We start from the raw sequence: 27,572 nt of genomic DNA, 5'->3' as shown, positions 1-27,572 counted from the left end.
CTGGGATTACAGGCATGCAGCATCACATCCAGCTAATTTTTGTATTTTTAGTAGAGACAGGATTTCATCATGTTGGCCAGGCTGGTCTTGAACTTCTGACCTCAGGCGATCCACCTGCCTTGGTGTCCCAAAGTGTTGGGATTACAGGCGTGAGCCACCACGCCCAGCCTCTCTCTAGTTTCCTGGCTGCCCTCCTGTGCAGCACCCTGAGGACACCCCTGCTGCCCCAGCCATCTCACAGCCCTGCCCCGGGCCTGCTGCTTGTCCCCTGGCCATCACTCCCCAACTCAAGGGACCCTCAGCATCTCCTGGAACTGCAATGTGAAAAACAAAATGAAAGTGATCTTTTATTAGTAAAAATTTATTCCTTAAGTTCAAATGTGAAACATTTGCTCATTATGAAGTCAGGGAGAACAATGCCACCGTGTTGAACACACTGGGGCAGGCTGTGGTTGACAGCTGCAGGCTTCTGCCAGCCTAGCATCCAAATTACTTCCTTATTGTGTTTCCTTGCTCAGTGTCAAACAATCCTGTCACAAAGATAAGAATTAGCAGATAGTAGAAGTTTTATAAGAGCCCATCATGCAGTACTGCAACAGCCTTCTATTAAAGTGAAAACAGGAGTGATAGGAATATATTTCGAAGTTGAATTTCTAACGATATCTGGCTGCAGGTGGGGAGGGTCATGTTGTTTTTAATTGCAAATACAGAAGTCAGACAAGAAGCACCAAGAACTTAAAATAAGCACTAACCCAGGCAAGCAATCTGTTGTATGGAATCAAAGAAAAATCAAGATCAGACATCTGAAATCTGTGAAGCACCGGTTTCGACCTCGGGGATTCCTCAGAAGAAGTTTGAGAAATCCTGCCCTTGATGCCTGCTTCCCTTCAGTGCTAAGCCAGCTCCTGGTCACTGCCCTCCTGGCTCCAGCAGAGGTCATGCCCCTTCTCGGTCCTCCCTTGGCACTCTCTGGAAAGTTCCACTGGGACACTGCCCAGACCTCGCATTAGACAGGAATGATGTTTACCCACTTATCTTGCCTCCCACAGGCGGGCGATGGTCTCACCTAGCGTGACCCTCAGGTGCCTCTGCTGAGCTGCCACAGGGTCCTGAATGTGTCCATTGAGGGCATCGGGGGCCTCAGATCCGAGTAAACCCTTGCTTAACTCTCAGCCGCCAACTGGAGGAGCCAAGCAACAGGGTATGGGAAATTAAGAACCATCTCAGCCAGGTGCAGGGGCTCATGCCTGTAATCCCAGCACTTTGGGAGGCCGAGGCGGGCAGATCACGAGGTCAAGAGATTGAGACCATCCTGGCCAACATGGTGAAACCCCGTCTCTACTAAAAATACAAAAATTAGCTGGGTGTGGTGGTGGGCGCCTGTAATCCCAGCTACTTGGGAGGCTGAGGCAGGAGAATCACTTGAACCTGGGAGGCGGAGGTTGCAGTGGGCTGAGATCGTGCCACTGCACTGCACTCCAGCCTGGCGAGAGAGAGAGACTCCGTCTCAAAAAAAAAAAAAAAAAGAAAGAACCGTCACAAGCCATATGCACATCTGCCCCACTTCCCTAAAGCACTGAGTCTGTTTTGGGCACCTTGCTTTGGGAAGTGCTGACTGCAATGATAATGACAGTGATGATAATAATGGCAGCTAAAACATGCTTATTATTTCAGGATTTCACAGGCACTTTGCTCAGCACTTAATCCTCATACCAACCCTATAAAGTATGTATTAATATTTTCCTTCCCACTCTGCATATGAGGGAAATGAGGCTTTAGAAAGGTCATCTTGCCCAAGTTCACATGGTTAGCTAAGTAGCAGAGCGGGGGCTGGAACCCAGATCTTGAACCCAAAACATCTAGGAGATGTGCCATGACATGCCAACAAGGCCTCCTTGAGCCAGGGAGACGCGGCAGCTTTCTGGACTTTTCAAGCAGGTGGAGCAGGTGGAGTGACTATGTGAAGAGGAATGGAGGGAAGTGGAGGCCCTGTGGAGGCCGTCCTCAACCCTGGCCGCCGACAGCCAACACAGCAGCTAGGAGGAACATCTTTGTAGCAAGAAAAAGAATGCACAGATCATGATCATCCACTGGGGAAAGAGTAAGCTCACTTTAACTCAGATTCCTGGACGTGCTCGGGGCCCAGGCCCTCTGATTGAGAAACACTGCCCCATGCCGGCCACCCAAGAGGTCACCCACATGCCAGGTACTGTGAGTGCACTTGGGGCACAAGTGCGAAGAGAAAGGCGGGACCCCCACCCTCCCGAGTTGAGCCTACTTGGGGCCAACCTACGCTGGGTCTCCTGGTCCCTCTCCTTGGTGGCAGAAATAGGTTTCCAACAGGCTCCAGTTTTGGCAAGACCTGCCTGTCCTGCCTGGTGGGCAGCTGGAACCTAGGGGCACAGGCTAGCGGTCATCACAATCACACAGCTCAGCACCAAAGAAAGCTGTCTCTACTTAGGGTTTGTCTCCCTCTGAATTTACTGACCACTCCTGCTTCCAAAAGAGCCTTGTGCAATGTGAAACTCTTTGGAGAAGTTGCTGAAGAAGAGCTATGAAGATGCCCTCATTGAATCCACTGTGCTTCCAGAATTAGAGACGGGAAGTAAGATAGACGGACTTCCCATGTGTCATTTAAATGTTATTTCTAACATATATTTTGGGAGTGACTGTCTTCTGATTATGCTCAATTGTGGGCTGAAGTGGGTGGCTCCATCTTTATTGCAAAGGCCGGGCCATGGGGTTGGCAGCAGCTGGAGGAGATGCTTCTTCCCCTGTCCTCAGCCAGAGCCTTCTCTGTCCCTGGCTTGGGTGGCTTGGGCGAGTCCTGTTCAGCCAGGACTACCCTGCAGATGGTTGTATGTGTCTGAGAGGTGGGCAAAGGCAGCCTGGGTCAGCCCACTCCAGGACACTCCCTGCCAGCCCCGGAGTGGACCAGGCTGCAGAACCCCACATCCCTGTCCCGGACAGAGTCAGCCCAGGGCAGGATTCTTGGCCACTGTGGTCTGGCTTGAGTGCCTTGGTTGTTAGGGGCTGGTAGTACAGCTAGCCCTGCTGCTGGGTGGCGTTGCTTCAGTAGAAGGGGATTCTGAAGGAGAATGGTCAGTGTTTATAAGACTGAAGCTGGAACAGAGCACAGAGAGAAGTCTCCCTTAATGCACGATTTTGAGACAATTCCCTGGCTTACAGACCAGGTCCAACTCCTCATTCTTTCAGGCGTTGGTCATCTAGCTACAACCTACTTTTCCAGCCTTGACCACAAACCCTGTGCCCCAGGCAATCTGGCCCAGCCAGGATACTGCAGACAGGCACGAGCTTTCTGTCTCTGGGCCCTTGCTTGGCTGTTTCCATGAACTCATCATTGACTGCACCCATGGGACCACTTCCTCCTCATCCTTTTGGGGACCCAATAAAAGGTCTGCTCCTTGGCAGTGCTGTTCATGGGTCCCCAGCAGAGTGAGACCCTCCCTCTGCTGCTCTCCTGTGGCCCTGTGCCCCTCCTGTGGCCGTCATCACCTCTTCTTTGTAGTGTCTTATTTACCCTATCAGGCTGGGAAGTCCCTGAAGGGAGACTCCCCATGCTCCCCACCCAGTGCCCAGCACACACTGCTTCTTCACACACAGGCCACTACGCATGCAGTGCACATGACTGGCATGACAGAGATGCTGTGGGCCCTCTCCGTTCTGAAGGCCTTGTTTGCAGAACAGCAGGAGGTCCTCCAGCAAGGTCACCTTAGTGCTCATTGCCTTCTTCCACCAAATCTGAAGGCGGGGGGATGAGGTCTCGGGGATTCATCCTGGCTACTAGGCAGACATCATAGCTGTCATGCATGAGGACGTTGATGGCTACAACATTCCACTGGTTTTCCCATGGGTCCAGTTCCAATATTTCTTTGGAGATAACCTCATGGCGATCTGAAAAACAGCAAAGTGGGAAGACAAAAATCTCATGTGGGTATTAAATTCAGAGGCCATCAGCACCATACTGAGTAACTTCCTCCAAAAGGCAATGTCTTAGTCCACTTGCTGTTACTGTTAACAGAATACCCAGGACTGGGTAGTTTATCAAGAAAAGACATTTACTTGGCTCACGATTCTGGTGGCTGGAGAGTTCAAGACTGGGGATCTGCATCTGGTGGGAGCCTTGGCTGTTTCAACTCATGGCAGAAAATGGAAGGGGAGTGGGCATTTGCAAAGAGGTCACTGGGACAGGGAAGGAGTAAAAGAGAGAAATCAAGAAAGCCAGACTGTTTTTTTTTTGAGACGGAGTCTTGCTCTGTCACCCAGGCTGGAGTGCACTGGTGCAATCTCGCTCACTGCAACCTCCGCCTCCCGGGTTCAAGCAATTCTCCCGCCTCACCCTCCTGAGTAGCTGGGATTACAGGCACATGCCACCATGCCTGGCTAATTTTTGTATTTTTAGTAGAGACGGGGTTTCATCATGTTAGTCAGGCTGGTCTCGAACTCCTGACCTCATGATCTGCCTGCCTCAGCCTCCCAAAGTGCTGGGATTACAGGCGTGAGCCACCACGCCCGGTTGCCAGACTATTTTTAACAGCCCCCTTTCCCAGGAACTAATCCATTCTTATGAGAGCCCAAGTTCACCCCCAAGGGAGGGTGTTAATCTATTCATGAGGGATCCATGGCAAGACACCTCCCACTAGGCCCCACCTCCAGCACCGCTACACTGGGGACCAAATTTCAACATGAGTTTCAGAGAGAACAAACTCAAACCACAGCAGGACTTAAGCACCAAAAATTAATTAACAACTGAATAAAGATACTTTAAATGGAAGGCAGTGTTCCTGATTTCTAAGAAACGAAGAAAGGCCACGTTCACAATTCAGTCAAAAATTATTCAAGAAGTTCTGACAGGGCATGCCGTTGTCTCCAGTTGAAAAAGTGTTCCAATGCCATATGAATGATTTAGCAATGATGTGAACAAGGGTTGAAACTGCCCTATTTCCACCCCCATAGAGGAGGCACGGCTGGAGTCATGTGGCCCTGGGCTAGCGCTGCCCTCTGAGCTTGTGTTTGGGATAGGGATGCTCACATTCAGGTGGGGTCCTGTGGAAACACAGCATACTCCACCTGGGCAACATGAAGAGTTCAGTCAAGGGACCTTTAGAACGCTGTGAGCGGGGCTTAGGAAGGCCCATGGGGGATGGCACAGTACCCAGCACTAATCACAGCAAGGGGCTGTCACTGTCCCTAGACCTGGAAGGCGAGGGAGGGAGAGAGCACTGGAGCTGGGACAGGGGAGCTGTCTGGGGAGCAGCACCGGTCTTGAGCAGAGAAAGATGGACACAGCCATCCTTAGCAGGGAGGCAGCAGGGAGGGCAAATACCCTGCATTTTCTATCTTTTTATGTGAAAGTCAGGTGCAGGCAAGGGAGAGGCTCAGGAAAACAAGTTTTCTTATCCTCACAGATCCCAGAGGCACGAGGCAGAAGACAGGAGTGAGGGGAAGGTGTAGGCCACGGGAGAATCCAGGCAGGGGAGAGTGGACACCTTAGGACTGGCTGGTTTGAATAATTTCAGTGGGTGTGGGGACAGGAGTGGTCTCTAGTTGCCTGGTGCCTGGCCCTGGGATGACTGAGGCAGAGGCACACTGTCTCCCGGGGTGTGGGGGCCAGACAGAGGAGGTGTGGCTCTGGGCTGGCTCGTGTGCACAGCAAAGATGTGCTCCAGGCAGAGCCCTTTCTTGTCCTTAAGGACTGGCCAGCCTGGGGAGGGCAATCATTCCCCAACCAGAAAGGTCTCTTAAGTTGTCAAAACATCACAATATACAGAAAATTTAAAATCTTTACAATATACCCTGACTCTCCTTTCTTTTCACCTGATAATTTCCTGCTCTTTCCTCCTGCTAACTGAACCATCCAGAAGCCAGAGAGGAAAGGAACCTTTAATGCTGTCTATAGAGGCCAGCCTGGAAGGACACAGAGAGAGGTGGGGAAGGGTAGGGGTGAGTGTGGAGGGACAAATGGAAGATTTCCAGCTTGGACGCCTATTTAACAATTTTATGGTAATTAAAGAAGATAATGTGTGTAAAGTGCCCAGCCTCGTTTCAGCATGTGGAAGTCAATTTTTGAAAATGATCCACGTGTGCTCATAAAGGATGTATATCCTGTAGCTGTTGGCTGTGGTGTTCCACATGTTCATTAGGCCTTGTTATTTAGCTCTTATACATATTTACAGGCACCCGCCACCACTCCCAGCTAATTTTTGTATTTTTATTAGAGACGGGGTTTCACCATGTTGGCCAGGATGGTCTCAATTTCCTGACCTTGTGATCTGCCCTCCTCAGCCTCCCAAACTGCTGGGATTACAAGTGTGAGCCACCGTGGCTGGCCAAAAAGACAATCTTTCTTAAACCTGGGTATGTATCACAAACACACTGGAGAAAAAGTGGGAACTTTTGAGGAAAACTGGCAGGACACTGGATTACAGAATTTCTTTCCTCCAAAACCTAATGAAATAAATCCCCAATCCCCAGATATACTTGCACCCACTAACCAATCTCAGCAACATCAAAAGTGGGATAAACTGTTTCTAGAAGTAATTCTATTTATGTCAGAATCTGTTATGTTAATAATAATGACTATTTATTGGATAGCATTAGGTGATTTAAATGTATGATCTCATTTAGTCTTTTGAACTATCATCTGAGAAGGATTTATTATTTTCTCCATTTTGTAGAAAAGGTAACAGGTCCAGAAAAGCTAATTAACTTGCCTCAGGATTGACAGCTGATACATGGCAGAACCAGGCTCTGAAGAAGCACATGGAACAAGCTATCTTAGACAGTCTAGAATCTGGGATGTGTATCAGACAATAGTAAGGGATTATGTGCATTTTTTAGGTGTGAATTTGGCACAGTAGGTATATTAAAATATCCATCCAGTTAGAGATGGATATTAATGTATTTTTGGATAAAATGGCCTGATTATTAGATTTGCTTTAAAGTACTCCAGTAAAGAAAAGTAAAAAGAAGAAAAAAAGTATGTTTGGAAATAAGAACAGCAAAATTGTTGAAGCTGGTGTGGTCAGATTGGCTTAATTGTATTATTGTTTCTAATTTGGTATCTAATGTGAAATTTCTAAAAATGAAAACCAACAAAAAATCTAAAATAGAATTTGTATGATTTTGATTGGATTTTTATTAAATTTATAAATCAGATTGGGAAAGGTAACATCTTAACAGTTTTCTAATCATGCAGCATGATATATCTCTCAATTTTTGGAGTGGGAGAAATGTTTTATGTCTTTCAATGTAATTTATTTAAAATAACCCAATGGCTGACTCAGAGTACTGCATTCCTCCTGGCCACAGAAGGATGGTTTATGGATGGAATTATAATCCGGTCAAAGACAACTACACTCGGCCAGGCACAGCAGCTCACACCTCTAATCCCAGCACTTTGGGAGGCCAAGGTGGGCAGATCACTTGAGGTCAGGAGTTTGAGACCAGCCTGGCCAACATGGTGAAATCCCGTCTCTACTGAAAATACAAAAATTAGCTGGGCGTGGTAGCGCCCACCTGTAGTCCCAGCTACTTGGGAGGCTGAGGCAGGAGAATCACTTGAACCCAGGAGGTAGAGGTTGCAATGAGCTGAGATTGCACCACTGCATTCCAGCCTGCGCGACAGAGCGAGACTCCATCTCAAAAAAATAAAAAATAAAAAATAAATAAATAAAATAACCCAATGATTACACTATCAGTGCCAAAATTTGGGAATTCTGTTAGACCTCTTACCTCAAACCAAAAACTTTGAAATGTGCTAGAGACAGATTAATTTGAACCAACCTTGTTTTATCTTCTCTTGTTCTATCTTCTTGAAATGGATGCTTAGTTCCTTTTTTTCATGTTTCAATGTCTACTAATATGTGCACTTAAGGCTTACATTTCTTCTGAGTACCTCTTTTTAGAAGATTTCTGGTGCAGTTCAAATTTCTCCATAGTTTGCAATCTCAGGCCTAATTTCTGCTTTAACCCAAGACTTATTTAGGAAAATGTTTTAACATCTCCAGCTGAGTGTATGTGTTAGTACATGCATGTGCACTTGACTACCCTTTCACTGAATGCTTCTAATTTATTTGCATCATAGACAGCACATATTACTTCTATAATTTGTATTTTGGGGAATATATTGAGATTTTCCTTTGCCCTAATTTATGGTTAGTCAATGTATGTGTTCTGTAAGTGTTTAAAAGGAAGTTACATTTTGTTTGCTTGGCAGAGGATTCTATATATCTATGACATTTAAGTTGCTAATTATGCTATTTAAATCCTTGATACCAGTGCTGTCCAAGAGAACTCACTGTGATGAGGGAAATGTTCTGTAATCTGTGCTGTCCAATAGAGTAACCACTGCCCATATGTGGTGTGGAGTAATTTGAAATGTGGCTAGTGAGACTGAGGAACTGATTTTTAAATTTTATTTAATTTTAATTAGCTTAAGTTGAAATTCAGATAGATGTAAGTGGCTGCTGACCATTGTGTTGTGTTGGGCAGCTCAGTTCTGGATCTCTTTTTGCTTTAGTTTTAAAAAATCAATTTGATCCATGGATTTCTGAAAAAGTCCATGCAAATTTTGCGGATTTATCCATTTATGTTACTATTTCCAATAGCTTCTGCTTTATATATAAGTGTTCACTCTTACTTCCTGGAGCACTAAGTCTTAGAGACTGCTTTAAAGTCTCTGCCTAGTTATTTCAAAATCTGTGCCATCTTGGGGTTAGTATCTGTTGATTGTCTTCTCTCTTGTATGATCTGATATTTTCTTGGTTCCTGGTAAGTCAAGTAATTTTGGATTATATGCTAGGCATTTTGAATATTATGCCATATTATTCTAGGTCTTGTTTAAATCCTGTGGAAAATGTTGATTTTTTTGTTTATTTGTATTAGCAGAAAATCAAAAACTGACCCAGTTAGGTAGGCCGCAAGTTCCTGGCTACCTTCTGTGGGCTGTGTTTCCAATGTCAGCTCAGTTTTCAAAGGCTTTGGTAGACAGTTTAGGGCTAAATCATGTGTGTGTGGCCCAGGAGCTCACGTCCAACTTTATGAGATCACTTTCTTGAGCTCCCTCCTGTCTGCAATCTTCCTTACATTTTCCTGATTCCAGCAACATCCTTATGCCCCTTCCTGGCCTTCTGGCTAAAGAGCTGGAGCTTTGGATTCTTTGCTCTGATGCACACTTTCCATGAACATGCATGCCTCCAAGGTGACGTGGCCAGTAGACCAAGATGGAAAGGCAATGGGGACTTTACTCAGACTCTTGGGACCAAAGTTTCCCTGGTCAGAGAAAAGGGGGCCAGCCCAGCCCCTGCTATTGCTACCACCTGGGAATGCCTGGGAGCTTGGGAAGGGGGTGGGGTAAAGAACGAAAAAAAGAAGAAAGAAAAAATTCCCCCTGTCTGACCCATAGGAGCCCTCTTCCTTCCTCCTTGGAACAGAAAAAGAGGATTTTCTTAGAGTTTCTGTCCATACTTGGTCTGAAGTTCCAGGCTTCAGGCTATCTTTGAGTCCAGGCCAGGAAATATCAAGGGAAAAAAATGAGACAATTATTATTGATTTGGTGGTATTTCAAGTTCTGACTTCTTTCCCCAGTCTGCCCACTACCATTTACTTTTCAGAGTTCTCAGATTGCTGCTCCATGCATCTGGCCAGGGGATTTAATTGCCTTTAGTGGGACAGACAGGGTGGAGTGTGTTGACTATCCTGACTAGAACCCAGTATTCCAGTCTGTTGTTGAAATCAGGGAATGGCCCTAGTTTTTGGCCCAAAGAGATGTTGGGAAGCTGTCTCAGCAAAAGGTAAAGAACAGAGGTCGTAATGGAACAGAATAGAGAGCTCAGAAATAATGCTGCACACCTACAACCATCTGATTTTCAACAAGGTTGACAAAAAGAAGCAATGGGGAAAGGACTCTCTATTCAATAAATGGTGCTGGGATGGCTGGCTAGCCATATGCAGAATATTGAAACTGGACCCCTTCCTTACGCCATATACAAAAATCAACTCAAGATGGATTAAAGATTTAAATGTATAGCCTAAAACTATAAAAACTCTGGATGATAACCTAGGAAATACCATTCTGGACATACACTCCAGCAAAAATTTCATGACAAAGACACCAAAAGCAATTGCAACTGAAATAAAAATTGACAAATGGGATCTAATTAAACTAAAGAGCTTCTGCACAGCAAAAGAAACTATCGACAGAGTAAACAAACAACCTATAGAATGGGAGAAAGTATTTGCAAAATATGCATCGACAAAGGTCTAGTATCCAGAATCTATAAGGAACTTAAATAAATTAAACAAAAAACAAACAACCCCATTAAAAAGTGGGCAAAGGACACGAACAGACACTTTTCAAAAGAAGACATACACACGGCCAACAAGCATATTAAAAATGCTTAATATCACTAATCATTAGAGAAAGACAAATTAAAACCACAATGAGATACTATCTCACACCAGTCATAATGGCTATTATTAAAAAGTGAAAAAAGATGCTGGCAAGGTTGCAGAGAAAAAGGAATGCTTATACGCTGCTGGTGGGAATATAAACTAGTTCAGCCATTGTGGAAAGCAGTTTGGCACTTTCTCAAAGAACTTAAAACAGAACTATCATTCGACCCAGCAATTCCATTATTGGGGATACACCCAAAGGAACATAAATTGTTCTACCATAAAGACACATGCATGTGTATTATCACTGCAGAACTATTCACAATAGCAAAGACCTGGAATCAACCTAAATGCCATCAGTGGTAGACCAGATAAAGAAACTGTGGTAGACACCATGGAATACTATGCTGCCATAAAAAGGAATATCATGTCATTTGCAGCAACATGGTTGGAGCTGGAGGTTATTATCCTAAGTGAACTAATACAGGAACAGAAAACCAAATACTGCATATTCTCACTTATAAGTGGGAGCTAAACATTGAGTACACATGTACACAAAGAAGGGAACAACAGATACTGGGGCCTACTTAAGGGTGGAGGGTGGGAGAAGGGTGAGGAGGATGAGGATCAAGAAACTGGATGATGAAATAATCTGTACACCAAACTCCTGTGACACACAATTTACCTATATAACAAACCTGCACATGTACCCCTGAACCTAAAAGTTAAAAATAAATTAATTAAAAGTGTAACAAACTAACACACACAAAAAGAACAGAGGTCCTGTGGTACATACACACAATGAAACAGCATACACACATAAAAATGAATAAGGACAGCCTCTACTACCTAACATGGAAAAGATTTCTGGGAGACAACTTAAGTGCAAAAAGTGAACTGCATGGTTTTACAGGATCTCTTCCACATTTTCTACCATTTGCAAAGGAAAAATAATAACTACACAGTGATGAAATTAGACCATATCTTGACTAGGTAATTAAAGTGAACTTTGCCAGCAAGGGGCAGAGAGACACAGTTTGCCTCCAGATGTGATGTCCTGAGATGGACATATATCAGTTATGTAATATTCCAGCCGGGAATGTATAACCTGAATTTAATCACCAGGAATATCGGATAGACATCAAGAGAGGAAGATTTTATTCTAAAACGGGGAAATTGTGCTAATTAAACAAGTTAATGTTGTAAAAAGGGGGGAAAAAGGGCGTGTCGACATGTTCCAGATTTAAGAAAACTGAGAAGACATGTCAACAAGCACAATACTTGATCTTAGACTGGCATGGAGAGAAAAGGTGCTACAAAAAGAACATTACCAGGTCAACTGAAAAAATTAGAAGACTAAGAGTAGAATAAATAAAAATATGGAATCAATGTTAAAATTCCTAAAATTGTTAGCTATCCGTGTTTATGTAAGAAAATATTCAGATTCTACACACTGGGTATTTAGGTGTAAATTGTGTGATGTATGCAGCTTACTTGCATATGGTCAGAACAAAATTATGTACCTGTCTATATGTATGGGTATTGCATGATTGAGCAAATGTTAAATAATGCAAATTAGGAAAAATATTAGCAATAGGTGAATCTGGGTATTCATTATACCATTTTCTTTTTTGTAACTTTTCTGTAAGTTTAAAATTATTTCAAATAAAAAGTTTAAACAAGAAAAGAGTTCACCAAGATTCTATTCCCTCATGGTCGCTGTAATGTCAATGTTGCAAACAGCAGTAACCAATGTCAGGCTTAAAGTCCAATGCTGCCTAAAGTCCAAAGCCAACAGCAGACCTCTTTAGCCTTTCCTAGCTTGATAGAGTTCGGAGAGAAAATTCTATCTCATGCTAACAAATCAGTGTCAATTTTTCAAATTTGCAAAAACTTATAAAACATATAAAACTTTAGGGATCTACAGATCTGCATGTCAGCTTAGCACAGAGCATGGAGACTGAGTTCCTGTTCTTGGATGCATTCTAGGAAAAGGAGAACCAATGACTACATGGTAAGAAGAAGCTGGTGCAAGGTGGGACAATGACAGTCTGCTATCACTGCAAGCTGAATCTGTCTTTTCTGACCCACGCGGTGCTCCTGATGTCATGTGTATCTTCTTGGTTAACAGTAATAAGCCTTCTTTATTTGAAGGTGGGTGGTTAGGGTGCCATAGAAGAGACTGTCAGAAGTATCAGCTGACATACCAGATGTCAGCCATATCTCCTCTGTGATCCCTGTTCCAGAACAGGCTGACTACATCCGTCTGCTACTCTTTGCCTGAGGATTTTCTCTTAGCTCCAGGGGGTCAGATAGGAAGTTAGTCTGAGGATGAACACCTCCAGATCCTTCACCCTTTGGGTGAGACAACTGCGAGGTGTGTTCTACACTGCCTCCCAGAATTTCTCAGTGGGACTGACCCTCAGTGGCCCACAGTGGTTACCTGTCAGGTCACACTGCTCTCCTGGCGCCCCTCCTTTCCCATCTTACTCTCTTCTCCCCTCTTAGTAGCCTCCTGGAAGCACTTTCCCATCAAAAAACTATTTGCACTCAAAGCCTTGTTTCAAGGTATGCTTTGGGGGAACTCAAACTAACAGAGATGATTTATTTATTTATTTATTTTGAGACGGAGTCTCGCTCTGTCACCCAGGCTGGAGTGCAGTGGTGCGATCTTGGATTACTGCAAGCTCCACCTCCCAGGTTCATGCCATTCTCCTGCCTCCCGAGTAGCTGAGACTACAGGCACCCGCCACCATGCCCGGCTAATTTTTTTGTATTTTTAGTAGAGATGGGGTTTCACCATGTTAGCCAGGATGGTCTCACCTCGTGTTCCCCCAGCCTCGGCCTCCCAAAGTTCTGGGATTACAGGCGTGAGCCACCGTGCCTGGCCAGATGATTATTTTTATACTTGGAAACTTAATTGGAAAATAAAGCCAAGTGGTCCGGAGGGGAAAGAACAGGTCAGATGTATGGAACAGGGAACTTGTCCCTGAGCAATCAGGTTGTGAATGAATGTGGTGAGTCTCCAGGATTTGGGGATGGGATCTTAGCTTCTCACTCTTAAGGGACAGGAGGTTCCTGTCAGTTGAAGGACATTCCCTTCATGATGGCCCATACAGAAACCTGTTCACAATCTGCTGCTCTGGCATCTAGGGAGAGCAATGCCCTCAGGCTGGAGTGACGGTACAGGATGAAACTGATGGCTGTGGAGCCCTCTTTCCGTATCATGGAGGCCCCTGGGAAGAACACAGTCAGAAGAGAAAGGAAAGCATGAGACAGACTTAGGAGGAGAAAGCAGCAGAAGCAAAGATTCAGATGCCTCCTGCAAGGGATTCAAAATCCATCAGTTTTCTTTCTTTGCTTTGGTGGCTACGAAGCTGGGCCAAATTCTGGAAATGTTTCTTAGCTTAGGTTTGCTGATATAATTGCTCTCTGCACTTACTGCTAAGCATGTTTTTAGTTTTATTTTGTCTATGCCAGTTCTGTAAAATGTCTCCATTCCTTGTGGAAATAGAAATGTTTTTTATATATATGATATAGACAGTGTATGTATGTATGGGTATATGGTATATACTGTAGGACAGATAGGAAGTTGAAAATGAAAATAGTAACTCTCCTCCAGGATATCATAAGTTTAGTACAATTTCTCCAGGGTGTGGCTGGGGGGCACGGGGATGCCAAAGGTAAAACAAACCACTTCCATCATTCCATCTTTTTCTCTGTAGTCATTAGTACTAGGATAAAACAGACTTGTAGCATAGTGGCCACCATAGCTGGTGTCTATCAAAGCTTTGTTCTTTTATCAGTTTTTTATTTTGAGAAATTTCAAACATACAGAAAAGGTGAAAGAATAGTACACTGAATACCGGTGTATTCTGCATCTAGAGTCAATAATAGTTAGCATTTTGCCTTATTATCTTTATGTCCCCACCCCATACACACACACACTTTTTTTTTCCTGAAACCTTGAAAAATCAATTACAGGCATAATACTTCACTCCTAAATACTCAGCATACTTCTTCTAAGGATGAGGAAATTCCTTTACATAATCACAAACCATTATCATACCTATGAAAAAATAACATTAATTCTATAAAATTGAATAAAATCCTGTTCATATTCTAATTTCCCCAGTTGTCCCCAGAATAACTCAATAGCTGTTATTTTCAAACCATCATCCAACCAACCTTCACACATTATACTTTGTTATTATGTCTCTCTGGTCTCCTTTCATTTAGGAAGGCCCCCATCTTGGGTTTTTTTCCCTGTGACATTAATTTTTTTGAGTCAGGGTCAGTTTTCTTGTAGAATGTCCCACAAGCTGAATTCACCTATCTCCTCATAGGGTTGTTTACTTTGTTCTTCCTCTATTTCCTATAAACTGGAGGTAAAATGTAGAGGTTTGACTGGACACAAGTTAAGTATTTTGGTGGTGGTGGGGACATGAGAAGACTCTATACTGAATGATATAGGAAGCAAATACTATAAAATTATATCATTATTAATGATGATTATTTGATTACAGCGGTGGCTATCCAATTTCTCCATTGTAAAAGTACATATTTTTTCATGTTGTAATTAGTCTGTGATTTATCAGGTAATATGTCTTCAGTGCCATGTGACTATCCTGTTCTTTATAACCTTTCAACCGATGCTTTTAGCATCCATTGATGATTTCTGACTGAACCAACTATTATACAAATTAGGATCTTGGCTATCCTTCTATCATGACTTCTACATTTATTACCTGGCTTTTGATTCAATGTGTTTCAGTCAATTATAGTCAATTACGATTTTTGATGTTTGAATTATTTTGAATCTGGCCAGTGACTGCCCTTTCAGGCTGGTTTCTCTGTCTTTTCATGACTCCCTTAAGTCTTTGACAATGTACCTGCTTTCTGGTGTAACAGGATATCTGAACCTTACCTTGCAATTTCTGTGCTCCAAACCTAGAATCAGCTATTTTGTGAAGAAGCACAACTACATTCTAAGCAGCTAGCTGAGTCCATCATCCAACAATACAGCAACTTCCTTATTTTGCCCTCAATGAGCTCTGTTAGGGCTGGAACCAAACATGTTTGTATGTGTATCTTTGGGGTTTAACATGGGCTTACTACCTAGAAAGGCATTCAATAAAGGTTTGTTGAATGAAAACCCAACAGACATCAGCCAGGCTCTTAACCCTGACTGCATGTTAGAAAAATCTGAAGATTTTTAAAAAATATTGATGCCCAGGCCCCATAACCAAATATTCTGATTTGATTTGTCTGGTATGGAGAGACAGTTTAGCCTACTGCTAAAAATATAGACTTTGGGGCCAGACTATCTAACTTTGAATCCCAAATTCAACATTTACCCTCTGTTTGACTTCTTTAGATGGCTTCAGTTTCTGCACCTTTAAAATAAGGGAAATAATAGTTGCAGGCTGTTGAGAGAATCAAATAAATTAACACATGCAAAGTGCTTAGAATTTTCCCTAGCACAGGGTAACCAGGTAACTGTCAGCTGTCAATTTTAATCTGCATTGGTTAGTAAAAGAATTCATTTTTGAAGTACTTCCCAGTGCATTTTCTCTTTCTGATAATTCAGATTTGTCCTCGACAGGCTTTTCACCATTAAGACTGTGCCACAAGACTAAACTAGAGGAGGCAGAGGGGTGATTTGAGGGAAGTTCTTGCTGGACAGATGGAGGAGGTAGAGAGCATTTCCAGTCCTGGGTGAAGGAAGGAAGATTTGGAGGGGCTGATACTAAGGTGAAAATGTTGTTTGGGTCCCCTAGAAGTTAGCCAAAGAAGATGATGAAAATGGCTCAGATGGGCTGAAGGCAGAAGGGACTTAGCCTGGACTCTGGGAAGAAATCCCCCTGCCCACAGCGGGTCCCACTGGCAGCCAGTATAGAGTTGAAGTGGAGAAACAGGAGGCCTCCCTGCTCCCTCAGCCTGCTCCCTGAGCTCCCCTGCCATCCTGGAGGAAGGGAAGACAGCCACAAGTGGCAAACAAGTGTGTACCGATGGGCTGCCATAGTAGGGAATGGGGGGACCCTGCACCAGAGTTCGGGGAAACAGACAGAAACCAGAGCCTGGCAAGAATATGCAGTTGAGTCTCAAAGGGCCAACAGCTGGAACAAGAGCCAAAGTGGGGGCTTTGTCAGCAGGGAGAAGGCTGAGCCCTCTGGGAGCAACTCCTCTTTGTGAGATATACAAGAATCCTGAGGGCACACTTGAGCTAGAAAACATGAGAGTGGCTCTTCGGTATTCAGTTCATTATGATTATCACCAAGATGCCCTCTGTCCAAGCCCACAGGGTCCCTTAAAAGGCAGGATTTCTGCGTGCCAACCACAGGAATCTTTTGCAGGTACCTAAGGCCACAGTGTTGTCATCCCTTGGATGTTCTTATAGCAGGGAATAGTTTCCTGCCACTAGGTGTCATCTGCCACCACTGTCTTCTCTGTCTCAGGAAGCCTAATTCTGTCTCTGGAATGGGCCATTTCTGCCTCTTTCACTCAAGGAACCTGCCTCTAAGCACCCTCACCATGGGCAGTTCAGCTTAATTCTCCTCATTAGTGTCAAACACCAAGCTGATTACTGTGAGGATATAAGAGAAGGAGTTCTGACTTTTTCACTTTAACAACAGCTTTATTGAGGTATAGTTCATATATCATAAAATTCACCCCTTGAAAATGTATAAAAAAATGGTTTTTTAGTATATTCACAGAGTTGTGCAGCCATCACCACTGTCTAATTTCAGAACATTTTCATCACTCCCAAAATAAATCCTCTGCCCATTAGCAGTCACTACCCATTCACCCTTTCTCCATTTTCTGGCAATCACAAATCTACTTTCTGCCTCTATCCATCTGCCTTTTCTGGACATTTCATATAAATGGAATCATGTGATATGTGGTCTTTTGTGATTGCCTTCTTTCACTTAGCATAATGCTTTCAAGGTTCATCTATGTTGTAGCAACTGTTAGTATTTCATTCCTTTTTATTGCCAAATGATATTCCACTGCTTAAATAGACAGTATTTTACTTATTTGTGTATTTTACTTATCTGTCCATCTGTGGATGGACACTTGGGTTGTTTCCACTTTTTGGCTGAGACGAATGCTGCTGCTGTGAACATTCAGGTACAAGGGTGGGCATATATTTTCAATTCTCTTGGATATATACCTAGGAGTGGGATTGCTGCATCGTATGGCAACTCTGTGTCAACCTCTTGAGGAACTGCCAGACTTTTCCAGAGCAGCTGCATTATTTTATATCACCAGCAACGTATGGTGGTTTTGATTTCTCCAAACCTCGACAATACTTGTTATTATCTATCTTTTTTTCATTGTAGTCATCCTTGTGGGTATGAAGTGTATCTCATCATGGTTTAGATTTGCATTTTCTTAATGGCTAATGATGTTGAGCACTAGATCATCTGTTTATATTCACTGGACAAGTGTCTATTCTGTTCCTTTGTCCATTAAAAATATGTTATCTTTTTATTATTGAGTTATAAGATTTCTTAATGTATTTTAGATACAAGTCTCTTACCAGACATGATTTGCAATTATTGTCTCTCATCCTGTGGGTTGTCTTTTCATGTTCTTGTTGTTGCTCTTTGAAGCACAAACGTTTTGATTTTTGATGTACAATTTATCTTTTTTTTTTGGTATGTGTGCTTTGGCATTTCTAAGAAACCATCACCTAATTCAAGATTTATGCCTACATTTTCTTCTAAGAATTTTACAGTTTTAGGTTGTATGTTTAGATTTTTAATCTACTTTGGGTTCCTTTTTGTACATGGTAAGAGGCAGGATTCCAACTTCATTATTTTGCATGTGGATATCCAATTATTCCTGCACCATTTGTTGAAAAAAGGATCCTTTCCTCACTGACTTGTCTTGGCAGCCTTGTTGAAAATCAGTTGACTGAAATGGAGGGATTATTTCTGAACTCTCAAGTCTATTCTACTGATCGATATGTTTTGTCTATCATTATGCTGGTACCACATGGTCTTGACTACTATAGCTTTGAAGTAAAGCTTCAGAATTAGGAAGTGTGGGTCTTTCATCTTTGTTCTTTTACAAGATCATTTTGGCTTTTCTGGGTCTCTTACATTTCCATATAGATTTTAGGATCATCCTATCAATTTTTGTATGTAATATCTTACCATTTATATAGAATTTTAATTCCTTTTAATGATGTCTTGCAGTTTTCAGTGTACAAATCCTGTACTTTTTTTGTTAAATTTACTCCTATTTTATTCTTTTTGATGATATTGTAAATAGAATTGTTTTCTTAATTTCATTTTTTAATTGTTCATTGTAAGTGTATAGAAATACAATTTTTTGGCGTATGGTCTTATGTCCTGCACCCTTGTTGAACCTGTCTATTAGCTCTAGTAGCTTTTTAAAATAATTCCTTAAGATTTTCGAAAAAAATGATTATGTCATATGCAATTAGTTATTACTTTCCAATATGGATGCTTTATATTTCTTTTTCTTTCATAATTTTACTGATTAGAACCTCCAGTATAATGCTGAATAGAAGTGGCAAGAGTAGGCATTCATGCCTTGTTCCTGATTTTAGGGGGAAACCTTTCAGTCTTTTACCATTAAGCATGATGTTAGCTGTAGATTTTTCATAAATACCCTTTATCGGGCTGAGGAAGTTACTTTCTATTTCCAGTTTGTTAAGTATCTATAGCACGAAAGGGTGCATCTATTTTTTTTCTTTGCATCTATTGAGATAATCTGTTTTTTTCCCTTTATTCTACTAATACGGCATATTACATTGATTCGTTTTCTTTTTTTTTTCCTTCAACTTTTATTTTAAGTTCCGAGGTATATATGCAGGATATGCAAGTTTGTTACATAGGTAAATGTGTGCCATGGTGGTGTGCTGCACGGATCAACCCATCACCTAGGTATTAAGCACAGCATCCATTAGCTGTTCTTCCTGATGCTCTCCCTCCTCCCACACATTGATTCATTTTCAAATGGTAAGCCAACTTTTCATTTCTGGGATAAATCCTTCTCGAACACGGTGTATAATTCTTTTTGCATGTTGCTGGATTCAGTTTGCTAGTATTCTGTTTAGATTTTTGCATCTATATTCATAAAGGCTACTAACCTATAGTTTTCTTGCAATGTCTTTGCCTAGTTTTGGTATCAGAATAACACTGGCCTCAAATAGTAAGTTTGGAATTGTTCCCTCTTGTATATTTTGTAAGAGTTTGTGAAGGATTGGTGTTATGAGCTCTGACCTTTTTGAAACACAATACTGGCTCCCTCATTCTGTATTGGAGGTGGAGAACAAAGCCTCCTGGTGAGTCCCAGGACTCTGTCAAGAACTGCAAAGAGTCTGGGATTTTATAAGTAAGCTTGCTGCAGTTTCATGGATGCTAATAGAAGACGTAAGACTTCTGGGTCAGAGATGAAAGACAGTGTTATAGCAATAGTAGCAACTAGTATATCAGCATTTTTATGCCAGTTATTATGCCAGTTTTTTGACTTATTCTCACGGGGCAATGTGAAGAGTGCCAGCTGAGACCTGTACAATCAATGGGTTGCATTACTGCAGAGAAATGCTGAGCTTAGGGAACCGGAATTTTTCATAATGACCAGTGAGCATGCCTGCTCTTTGCTGTGGAGATACTGACTATATCTTCTAAGGCTGTATGCTATCAAAGATGCTTGAAGAAATAGTCCAGAACAAAAGCAGTCAGTACCTCTGCTCATAAGACATGCAGAAACACTTAAGACCCATGGAAAATTATCTCCCAAAAGACTCACTTGTTCATATTTTTCTTAATACTCTCTTGTTATTCTTCTACTATATGCACTATATTTACATATTTTAAATTTAGGTTTTATTAGTTACACATTTGCTTGATTTAAATAGCTGCTTTACAAGTCTTATTCCTTAAAAACAGTTGTTCCCTGACCTGCTCCCCATTCACTGCTTCTCTCTCCACTCTGGCTGATTCTGCTGGCACTGACCATGGTCTCTATAAACAACACTTTTTATATTACTTCTGCCTCTTGCTTTGTCAGATGAAGGCATTAACTCTTGACTTCCACTGTGAAGAATGCGGACTTGGCTTTCTCTCACATTCCTACCCTATCTACCTATGGTCTGTTTCCACATTTTCCAGTACAGTTAAGGCATAGTTTTGGTCAGTTCAGTATTGAGTATGTTTATTATGATATTGTTATAAATGCTATTCACAGATGGACTGTGTGGCATACTTTTCCTTTTCTGCATGACTTACTGTTTTCTCTCATTTTATTTTTGCTAGTTTTCATTGTTCTTCTCCAAATGTTGGAATCTTGAAGGCATCTCTCACAGAGCCCTTTGACCGGCTCCATTCTATTCTGGCCACTCTTTCGGCCTGCTTTGCAGCTTCTTGAATCTCCCCTCAATATCCTCCACTGATTTCCTTTTCTCTCTATTATGTTTAATTCTGTTCTTGGGTCCCACATCTATCTTTTTTGGTTTATATGTTCATTTTTGGTGAAGCATGTCCTGATAAAAGGGCACACAGGAGAAAAAATTTTGGAGGCACTGTATGTCTGAAAATGTGCCCTCAAATTTAATAGTTCAGCAGGCATAGAATCGTAGGTGGAAAGTAATTTTCCCATAGAAATTTAGATAGCATTTGCTTCGTTTTCTTCTAGCTCCCAATGTCATCATTCAGAAGTCTGATTCTTGGCACTTTGTGTAAAACTATTGTTTTTTCTCTTTAGGAACTTTTACAACCTTTTATTTTTTTCCCCAGTGTTCTGTAATGTCACAGTGATGTGCCCTAGTTTGGGTCCCTTTTCATCCTTTGTCCTTGGCATTTGTATATCCTTTCAATCTGATGACTTCAGTTTGGGGGAAAATTTTTAATTTACTTCATGGATAATTTATTTCCCTCTGTTTTCTCTGTTTAGCCATTGACCAACTCCTATTATTCAAATGTTGGACCTCCTGGCCTCAACTTCTCTTTCTCTAATTTTCCATATAATTGCTTTTTGTTCTGCTTTGTGAGAAGTTTCCTCTACTACACTTTCCAAATTTTCCATTGTAGATTTAATTTCTGCTATATTTTTTAATTTCCAAGAAATGTTTTAAATATCCTTTTCCTGTTCTATTGATGCAATATTTTCTCTCATCTCTCTGAGGACACCTCTCCTGGCATAGCCTCTGTTTCCTCCAGTTTGCTTTCTATCTTTCATCTATGCACTTCCTCAGATGTTCGGTGATCCTTAGTTGCTTGTTCATCTTTAAGAGTGGGATGCCATAAAAGACTTTTTCTGTGAGATTCTCTGCAGGGTAATCTGGCTTTGCCTTAGTTGGGGGCTGGTCAGACCCCCAGAGAAGAACCTCCCAATCTCTTGCCGAGAGGGTATGGCTGTGCATATTCTGAGAGTCAGGGAGGGAAGGAGGCTGAGGACCTCAATATTCAATATGCAACCTTCCACTCAATCTCTTTTTAAATTACTGGATGCCTGACCTTAACTCCTGTCCTCAACCTCAGCCTTTGTCAGGGTGAAAGGTCTTTGTCTCACTATCAAGAGTAGGGCAGGAAATTAGGGGTCTTCCTGTCTTTCAGCTAATCTTCATGTTTTCAGTATCATTTTCATTTCAATGTCCACAGTTACCTTTTGTTGCCAACTCCTGAGATTATCTGGGGTTCCAGGTTACAAATCAGGGTTTTTGTTTGTTTTTTGTTTTTTCTGTTGCCAGTTAGGATTACACTTTCTCATACATCTGCTTTTTAGCTTCCAAATTGTTGTTGCTATTTTCCTGTCTCTTCTCTTTGTCTGTGTTTATTCGACTTACTGTCATTTTAGTGGGGCTTGAAGATAAAATAGAGGTGTTCAACCTACTATTTTAACCAAAAACAAATTACTATGTTTATTACATGTTTATCCATCTGTCTTTCCCACCAAATGTTGAAAATCTCGATTGTATCCCAAATACCTGTTCACAATATATTTCAATGTATTTTTATTGAATTAAGTATATTAAAAGAGATTACTTTCTCAACTGTGGTTTTCTGAAAAAATAAATGAGACAAGTAGGTCTGTGTCACACAGGGAGAAAACATTTAGTGTCTGTTTTAGGTCTGATGAGATCTCTAGATCATAATAGGTATGTTATTATACAATTGTTTTATTTTGTATAAAATCCCAGTGATAATTCATTCAGCGAATCCCAAACAATCTACCATCTTAGAAACAAATAATTAAAATGGACTTTGAGAGCTCATATAGTAAGTCCCTTTGGCTGAAAGCATTACCAGTCCATTATATTAATAGTACCAAGAAGAGAGGTTAGCTCATAGTATGAGTTTATTTGACATGTTTGAAAAACTGGAGGATATCAATTCTCTAATTCAATATTATATAAAGAAAGATAAAGAAGCAAGACAAAACAGAATGTCTTCTAGATCCTTAGACGTGAATAACCACCTATCCCTCTGGAGGCTAACCCTCAGATTCTCTGTCCTTCTTTTCTGGCCAAGAGAAAGCCAAAGGCCAGAATATGGGAGTTGCTCATGTAAGCAAGCTGGAGGACAGCCCTGCCGCATGAGTGGGCACAGCACCAGGGCTCTCCCTCCTGGCTCCTCAGCTCCCTTCTTACACGCAGGGCTTGAGCAAGGGGCCCCTATTAGGATTCCTTGTTGGGCCAGGTTTCTTACTACTATGATAGATTACAGTCTTTACCCAAGCATGGCATGTAATGTTTAATGTAAAAGAGATTAAAACAACTTTTTAAAAACCTCTTTGAAAAATGTTTTGAAGAGCAAATAGAGAAAGAAAAAGTAAAGTTTTTATTATGGCAACTTTCAATGTATTCTTGCCACCTCTTGCCATTAAAAACAATATTTGCTAGAATAGATTAAAACAAATTTCAGACAGTATATCATTTTCATCCACAAATTCTTTTTCTTTCTTTTTTTTTTTTTTTTTTGAGATGGAGTCTCGCTCTGTTGCCAGGCTGGAGTGTAGTGGCACGATCTTGGCTCACTGCAACCTCCAACTCCCTGGTTCAAGCAATTCTCCTGCCTCAGCCTCCCGAGTAGCTGGGATTACAGGCAGGCACCACCACACCCAGCTAATTTTTGTATTTTTTTTTTTTTTAAGTAGAGATGGGGTTTCACCATGTTGGCCAGGATGGTCTCAAACTCCTGACCTTGTGATCTGCCTGCCTCGGCCTCCCAAAGTGCTAGGATTACAGGTGTGAGCCACCGCGCCCAGCCACCATCTTATTCTTTAACATATCATGTGCTTAAAGAGTGAAGGCAGGCTTGCGAAAGGCTCTGCTTTGCTGCAGTATCAGCTTTACTTTAACCTGGCATTCTTCCAAAATTCTAAGTGCTCTTGAGGCACATGTTTTCATGGGTATGTACTGGCCTTGTGCTTGTTAGTGAGAATATAATTCAAGTTAGTCATTTTTAATATAACTGCATTCTGCCTTATTTACTTATGCCACTAATCAAACTTTGGAGGCATGTGCCTACTAGATTTATGCATAGTTTATAATCTCATTGTTACATTAAAAAATTATAAATCCATACTGTAGAATGCAGTGATGGTACAATTAGATATATGGAAAAAGGTTTAGTAATAAACACATGCATTAGGTATTATTTTAGAAATGCTTTCAAGCCATTTATTTCAAGTGGTAGTCATGGGGTAGGAATAAGAGAGTTTTCTGAGTCTTGATCAGATAAAACCCAACACTTCTGATCAGTACTCCACTTTCAGCTACTCTTCCCATTTTAAAATCTCTTCTTTAGTCTCACCATAGTCATTAGGCTACCTCTCCCATTTCTCTTCTCTTCATATTCAACTACTATATAGTGAGTGTCTACTATGTGCTAGATGCTGTACAAACTAGATTCCCTTTTAATTCTCCCACCCAAGTACTAATCAGGCCCGACCCTGCTTAGTTTCCAAGATCAGGTGAGACCAGGTGTGTTCAGGGTGGTATGGCCGTAAACTAGATTCCATTTAATTCTTACGACAGCCTATGGATGTGCCAGCTTCACTTTGTCCATGTGAAACCCAGGCCAAGAGGTTTTGCACAGGGTCCCTGACTCTAAAAGCCATGCTTTTGCAGTGCTCACGTTGCTCTCAGGAATATTAGTGGTGATTGGATCAGTTAAAGAAAGTCAAATCAACACCAAAGGAGGTAACAAAATGTTTAAAACTGGACCCATACCTGCTCCATGGAATCCCCCGCAGACATAGAGTTTCCCATCCACTGCCCCTGCATTGGTGGAATTGGTGCGGAGTGAGAGGAGGGGACTTGGCATGGGAGGGCCCTCTCGCCAAAAGTCCCCATCTGGGTTGTAGATCTCCACCACGTCAAGGCATTTTCGAACCTGGCCCTTGTCTTGACCTACACAGCCAATGCCACCTGCAGAGAATTATGTGGAGAAATGAGAGGATCAGGAACTGAAACTCAATTGTGGACAGCACTGCCCCCTGCATGGTTTGTATCAAAGGTTTATGGGACTGTAACTTTTCTCTTTCTTGCCAGGTGCTACCTTGAAGACAAGTTCTAAGCAATAGTGATGTCTACTGTGTACTCCATAGCGACATTCAATGTCATTTTTATTCATAGTGTTCTCCTTGTTTGTGATCATGCATGAGACTGAGTCTACCACTGGCTTATATTCTATAATATCCAATGCTGGTTCACATCATGAGCATCCCCTTTATAATAAGAATTTCAGGGTTGACTGTAAAGGTAACCTGACTTTGACATCTGCCTTGCTGTTGATGGTTAGCAATGCTTTTGCTGATGTGGCTAGCTAGGAATGTGTTCTTCCCATCCCTTATCATTGCAAGCTGGTTTCTCCCTCTCTTCCTAAGTTGCATGATCTTTCCCAACTAGGGAAGGACTATTCTTTGGTAAATTTCAGGAAAGGCCCTAAACCCAAATGCCCAGTGCATCTTCCAGTTTTGGATGATATAGTTCATTCATCAGATAATTATTAAGTGCCTATTATATGTAAGGCAATGTGCTAAGTTATAATAAGGAGTTCTGAAAGATGCATAAAACATGTTTCCTGCTGTTAAGAAATTAATAGGATGGAAAGGGCCGTGTTTGCAAATAAATAAAGTAGAGGACATCAAGACAGGTGTCTTAAAGAGATAAAAGTGAGATTTAGAAGTCCAGGGACTGTAACAAGGAATATAAATAACACTTAGAGAATCATGACTTTAAGTACAACTCTCCATTGGAAAAATAATTGTATACAAATTTCCTATCCACTGTTACAAGAAACACATTTCTATGCACTGCTTTTATTTTCCCCTCCCAAGTCCACACTGGAAGGTCATCAAGGTCAGGGCCATATTTCCTGATCTGAAGGATGGCTCCTGAGACTGAGGTAAACCCCCCGGAAGGAGGGACATGCCTGTATTTGCAGACACGCCTCTCATCGATGACCTCATTCTATCCAGACTCACAGCCTGGTCTGTGTGACTAATCAAAAAGCCTGTAAAGCACTGGCCTCAGGTAAACCAGCTCTCCTTCACATAGAGAGGTCCTGGAAGAGTCACTGTGCAAACTGCATATGTTGGGTGGTGACTGATACTGGAGTATGTTGTTGACAGCGATCTCAAAACCAAAATTAAGAACTCTGCTTTGATCTCATGGCTTTTACTATATGTATCACATACTGAGAAATTAATCTCATGTGTTTCCTGGCCTGTCTTCTTTCAGTGTCATTTTATACCCTTTGCCTATCACTGCATCAGTCAGGTGGTATTTTCACCATCACCTGCTTTCCTATCTTGCTCACTGGCCTGTCGTTTTCCATATTGCATCCCTAGTACCTAGCCCAGTGCCTGACACGTTGTGTGTTGGAATGAAGAATGAGAAGTTTAATTTTGCATGTGCTTTCCCTGCCTGTCCAAGTGAGTGTGCTACTGGGGCCAAAGGCCACTATTCTGCATCTTTTATATCACAGGGCCTGCCACACAGTACTCAATGAATCCAAGAAGATTGATGGGAACAGCTTATTTTCACCATGGTTGGGGCTTATGCCAGGCATAAAAGCTGATGGAAGGGCACTTTGAAGGAAAAGTCTTTTTTTCTCTTTGCTGATATAAACTGACCTGTTTCCTGTCTCAGTTTGAATCCAGGGACTGAGGCTATAAACTAACTCAGGAGGCTTTTAGCTGCCTTCTCTCTTATCCGACTGGATAAATAATTTAGCCCATTACAGTGCCAAGTTTGAGCTGCAGCGTTTCCAAGGAGGGGACACACTGGCCTCGGTTAACGGCACAGCTCTGCTGTTCCTGGGCCCTCTTTCAATGTGGCACTGTGGTAGCGAGAGCTTTCTCAGCCTAACAAAAAGTGGAGTTTCCTATTTGTAGGGCAAGAAGGACTTAAAGAGGAGGATTTAACCATAGGAGTTGAAACAAGCAATCACCCATAAGGTAAGAGTAAGATGATCTAGTTGTCTGTTTTTGTGAGATCCAGGAGAAATGTTACTAGGCTGGTTTGTATTACAGCTCCTCCAGAAGACCAGCAAGTGGAAGCAAAGAGGTCAAATGCGAGTCACTGGAGTTGGGTTAGGGCACACGGAGCAACCAGCATCCTGAATCCAGCTCACAAATTTCACATAAAAGCCCATTAGAAGACTTCCCCAACATGACGCATATACAGAATGGGTATTATTCTCTTGATTTTTGCAATAATTAGTGTTGTCACTTTTGATGCTCTGTTACCAAGTGTATTTAATTATAATGTTCAGCCCTAACTCTACAAAACTAGCCCTTTCTATTTGGTTGGCAGGCAGTTCACACGCTCCACTCAAGGAGTGACATGAGCTTACAGCGTGCTCTGTCTTTGTTTCTGACCATTAATGCCTGAACACATTCTCTGTCTCACTTGGATGTAATTCCACCATCAAGTACACTCTATTAGCAGCAGACTTAATGAGCTTAAACTGAAGGTGAATCCTGATTAGGTAAATAATCAAATGAAAGCATGATCTTCATTAATAAGTCAGCACCAGCACTACAAGAGAAATCTTTTGATGAGAGGTGTCTTGGGGTAGGATCAGTACATCTGTAGAATTTCAATGAGATACCTCCATATCTTTAATTTATACGAACCTCTGAGCATGACTTTTCTTTATTCAAAAACAGAC

General features: G+C 41.9%; 1 protein-coding gene and 1 pseudogene across 5 annotated transcripts in view; both read right to left on the bottom strand.

The window, feature by feature from the left end:
* Nucleotides 1-334: 334 nt before the first annotated feature.
* The window catches only part of KBTBD12 (kelch repeat and BTB domain containing 12), a 72,446-nt gene continuing 45,208 nt past the window's right edge, over nucleotides 335-27,572 (bottom strand). For 2 of the 5 annotated variants that reach the window (NM_001370224.1, XM_047447589.1), the window contains exons 5-7: nucleotides 24,626-24,823; nucleotides 3,733-3,915; nucleotides 335-530 (exon numbers count right to left, since the gene is read on the bottom strand). In NM_001370224.1, the coding sequence (NP_001357153.1) occupies nucleotides 3,734-3,915; nucleotides 24,626-24,823 (380 nt within the window). In that variant the 3' untranslated portion in view covers nucleotides 335-530; nucleotide 3,733. Of the gene's footprint in view, nucleotides 3,916-13,273; nucleotides 13,653-19,459; nucleotides 22,254-24,625; nucleotides 24,824-27,572 lie in introns of those variants that run through there. The other 3 variants (NM_207335.4, XM_047447590.1, XM_047447591.1) reach the window with 3 other exon arrangements.
* RNA5SP139 (RNA, 5S ribosomal pseudogene 139) lies at nucleotides 24,288-24,404 on the bottom strand (annotated as a pseudogene).

This window comes from Homo sapiens, chromosome 3 (genome assembly GCF_000001405.40).
Source record: "Homo sapiens chromosome 3, GRCh38.p14 Primary Assembly".
NCBI lineage: Eukaryota > Metazoa > Chordata > Mammalia > Primates > Hominidae > Homo > Homo sapiens.
Note: the sequence above shows the minus strand (reverse complement) of the source record. Positions and strands in the feature narration are given on the sequence as shown.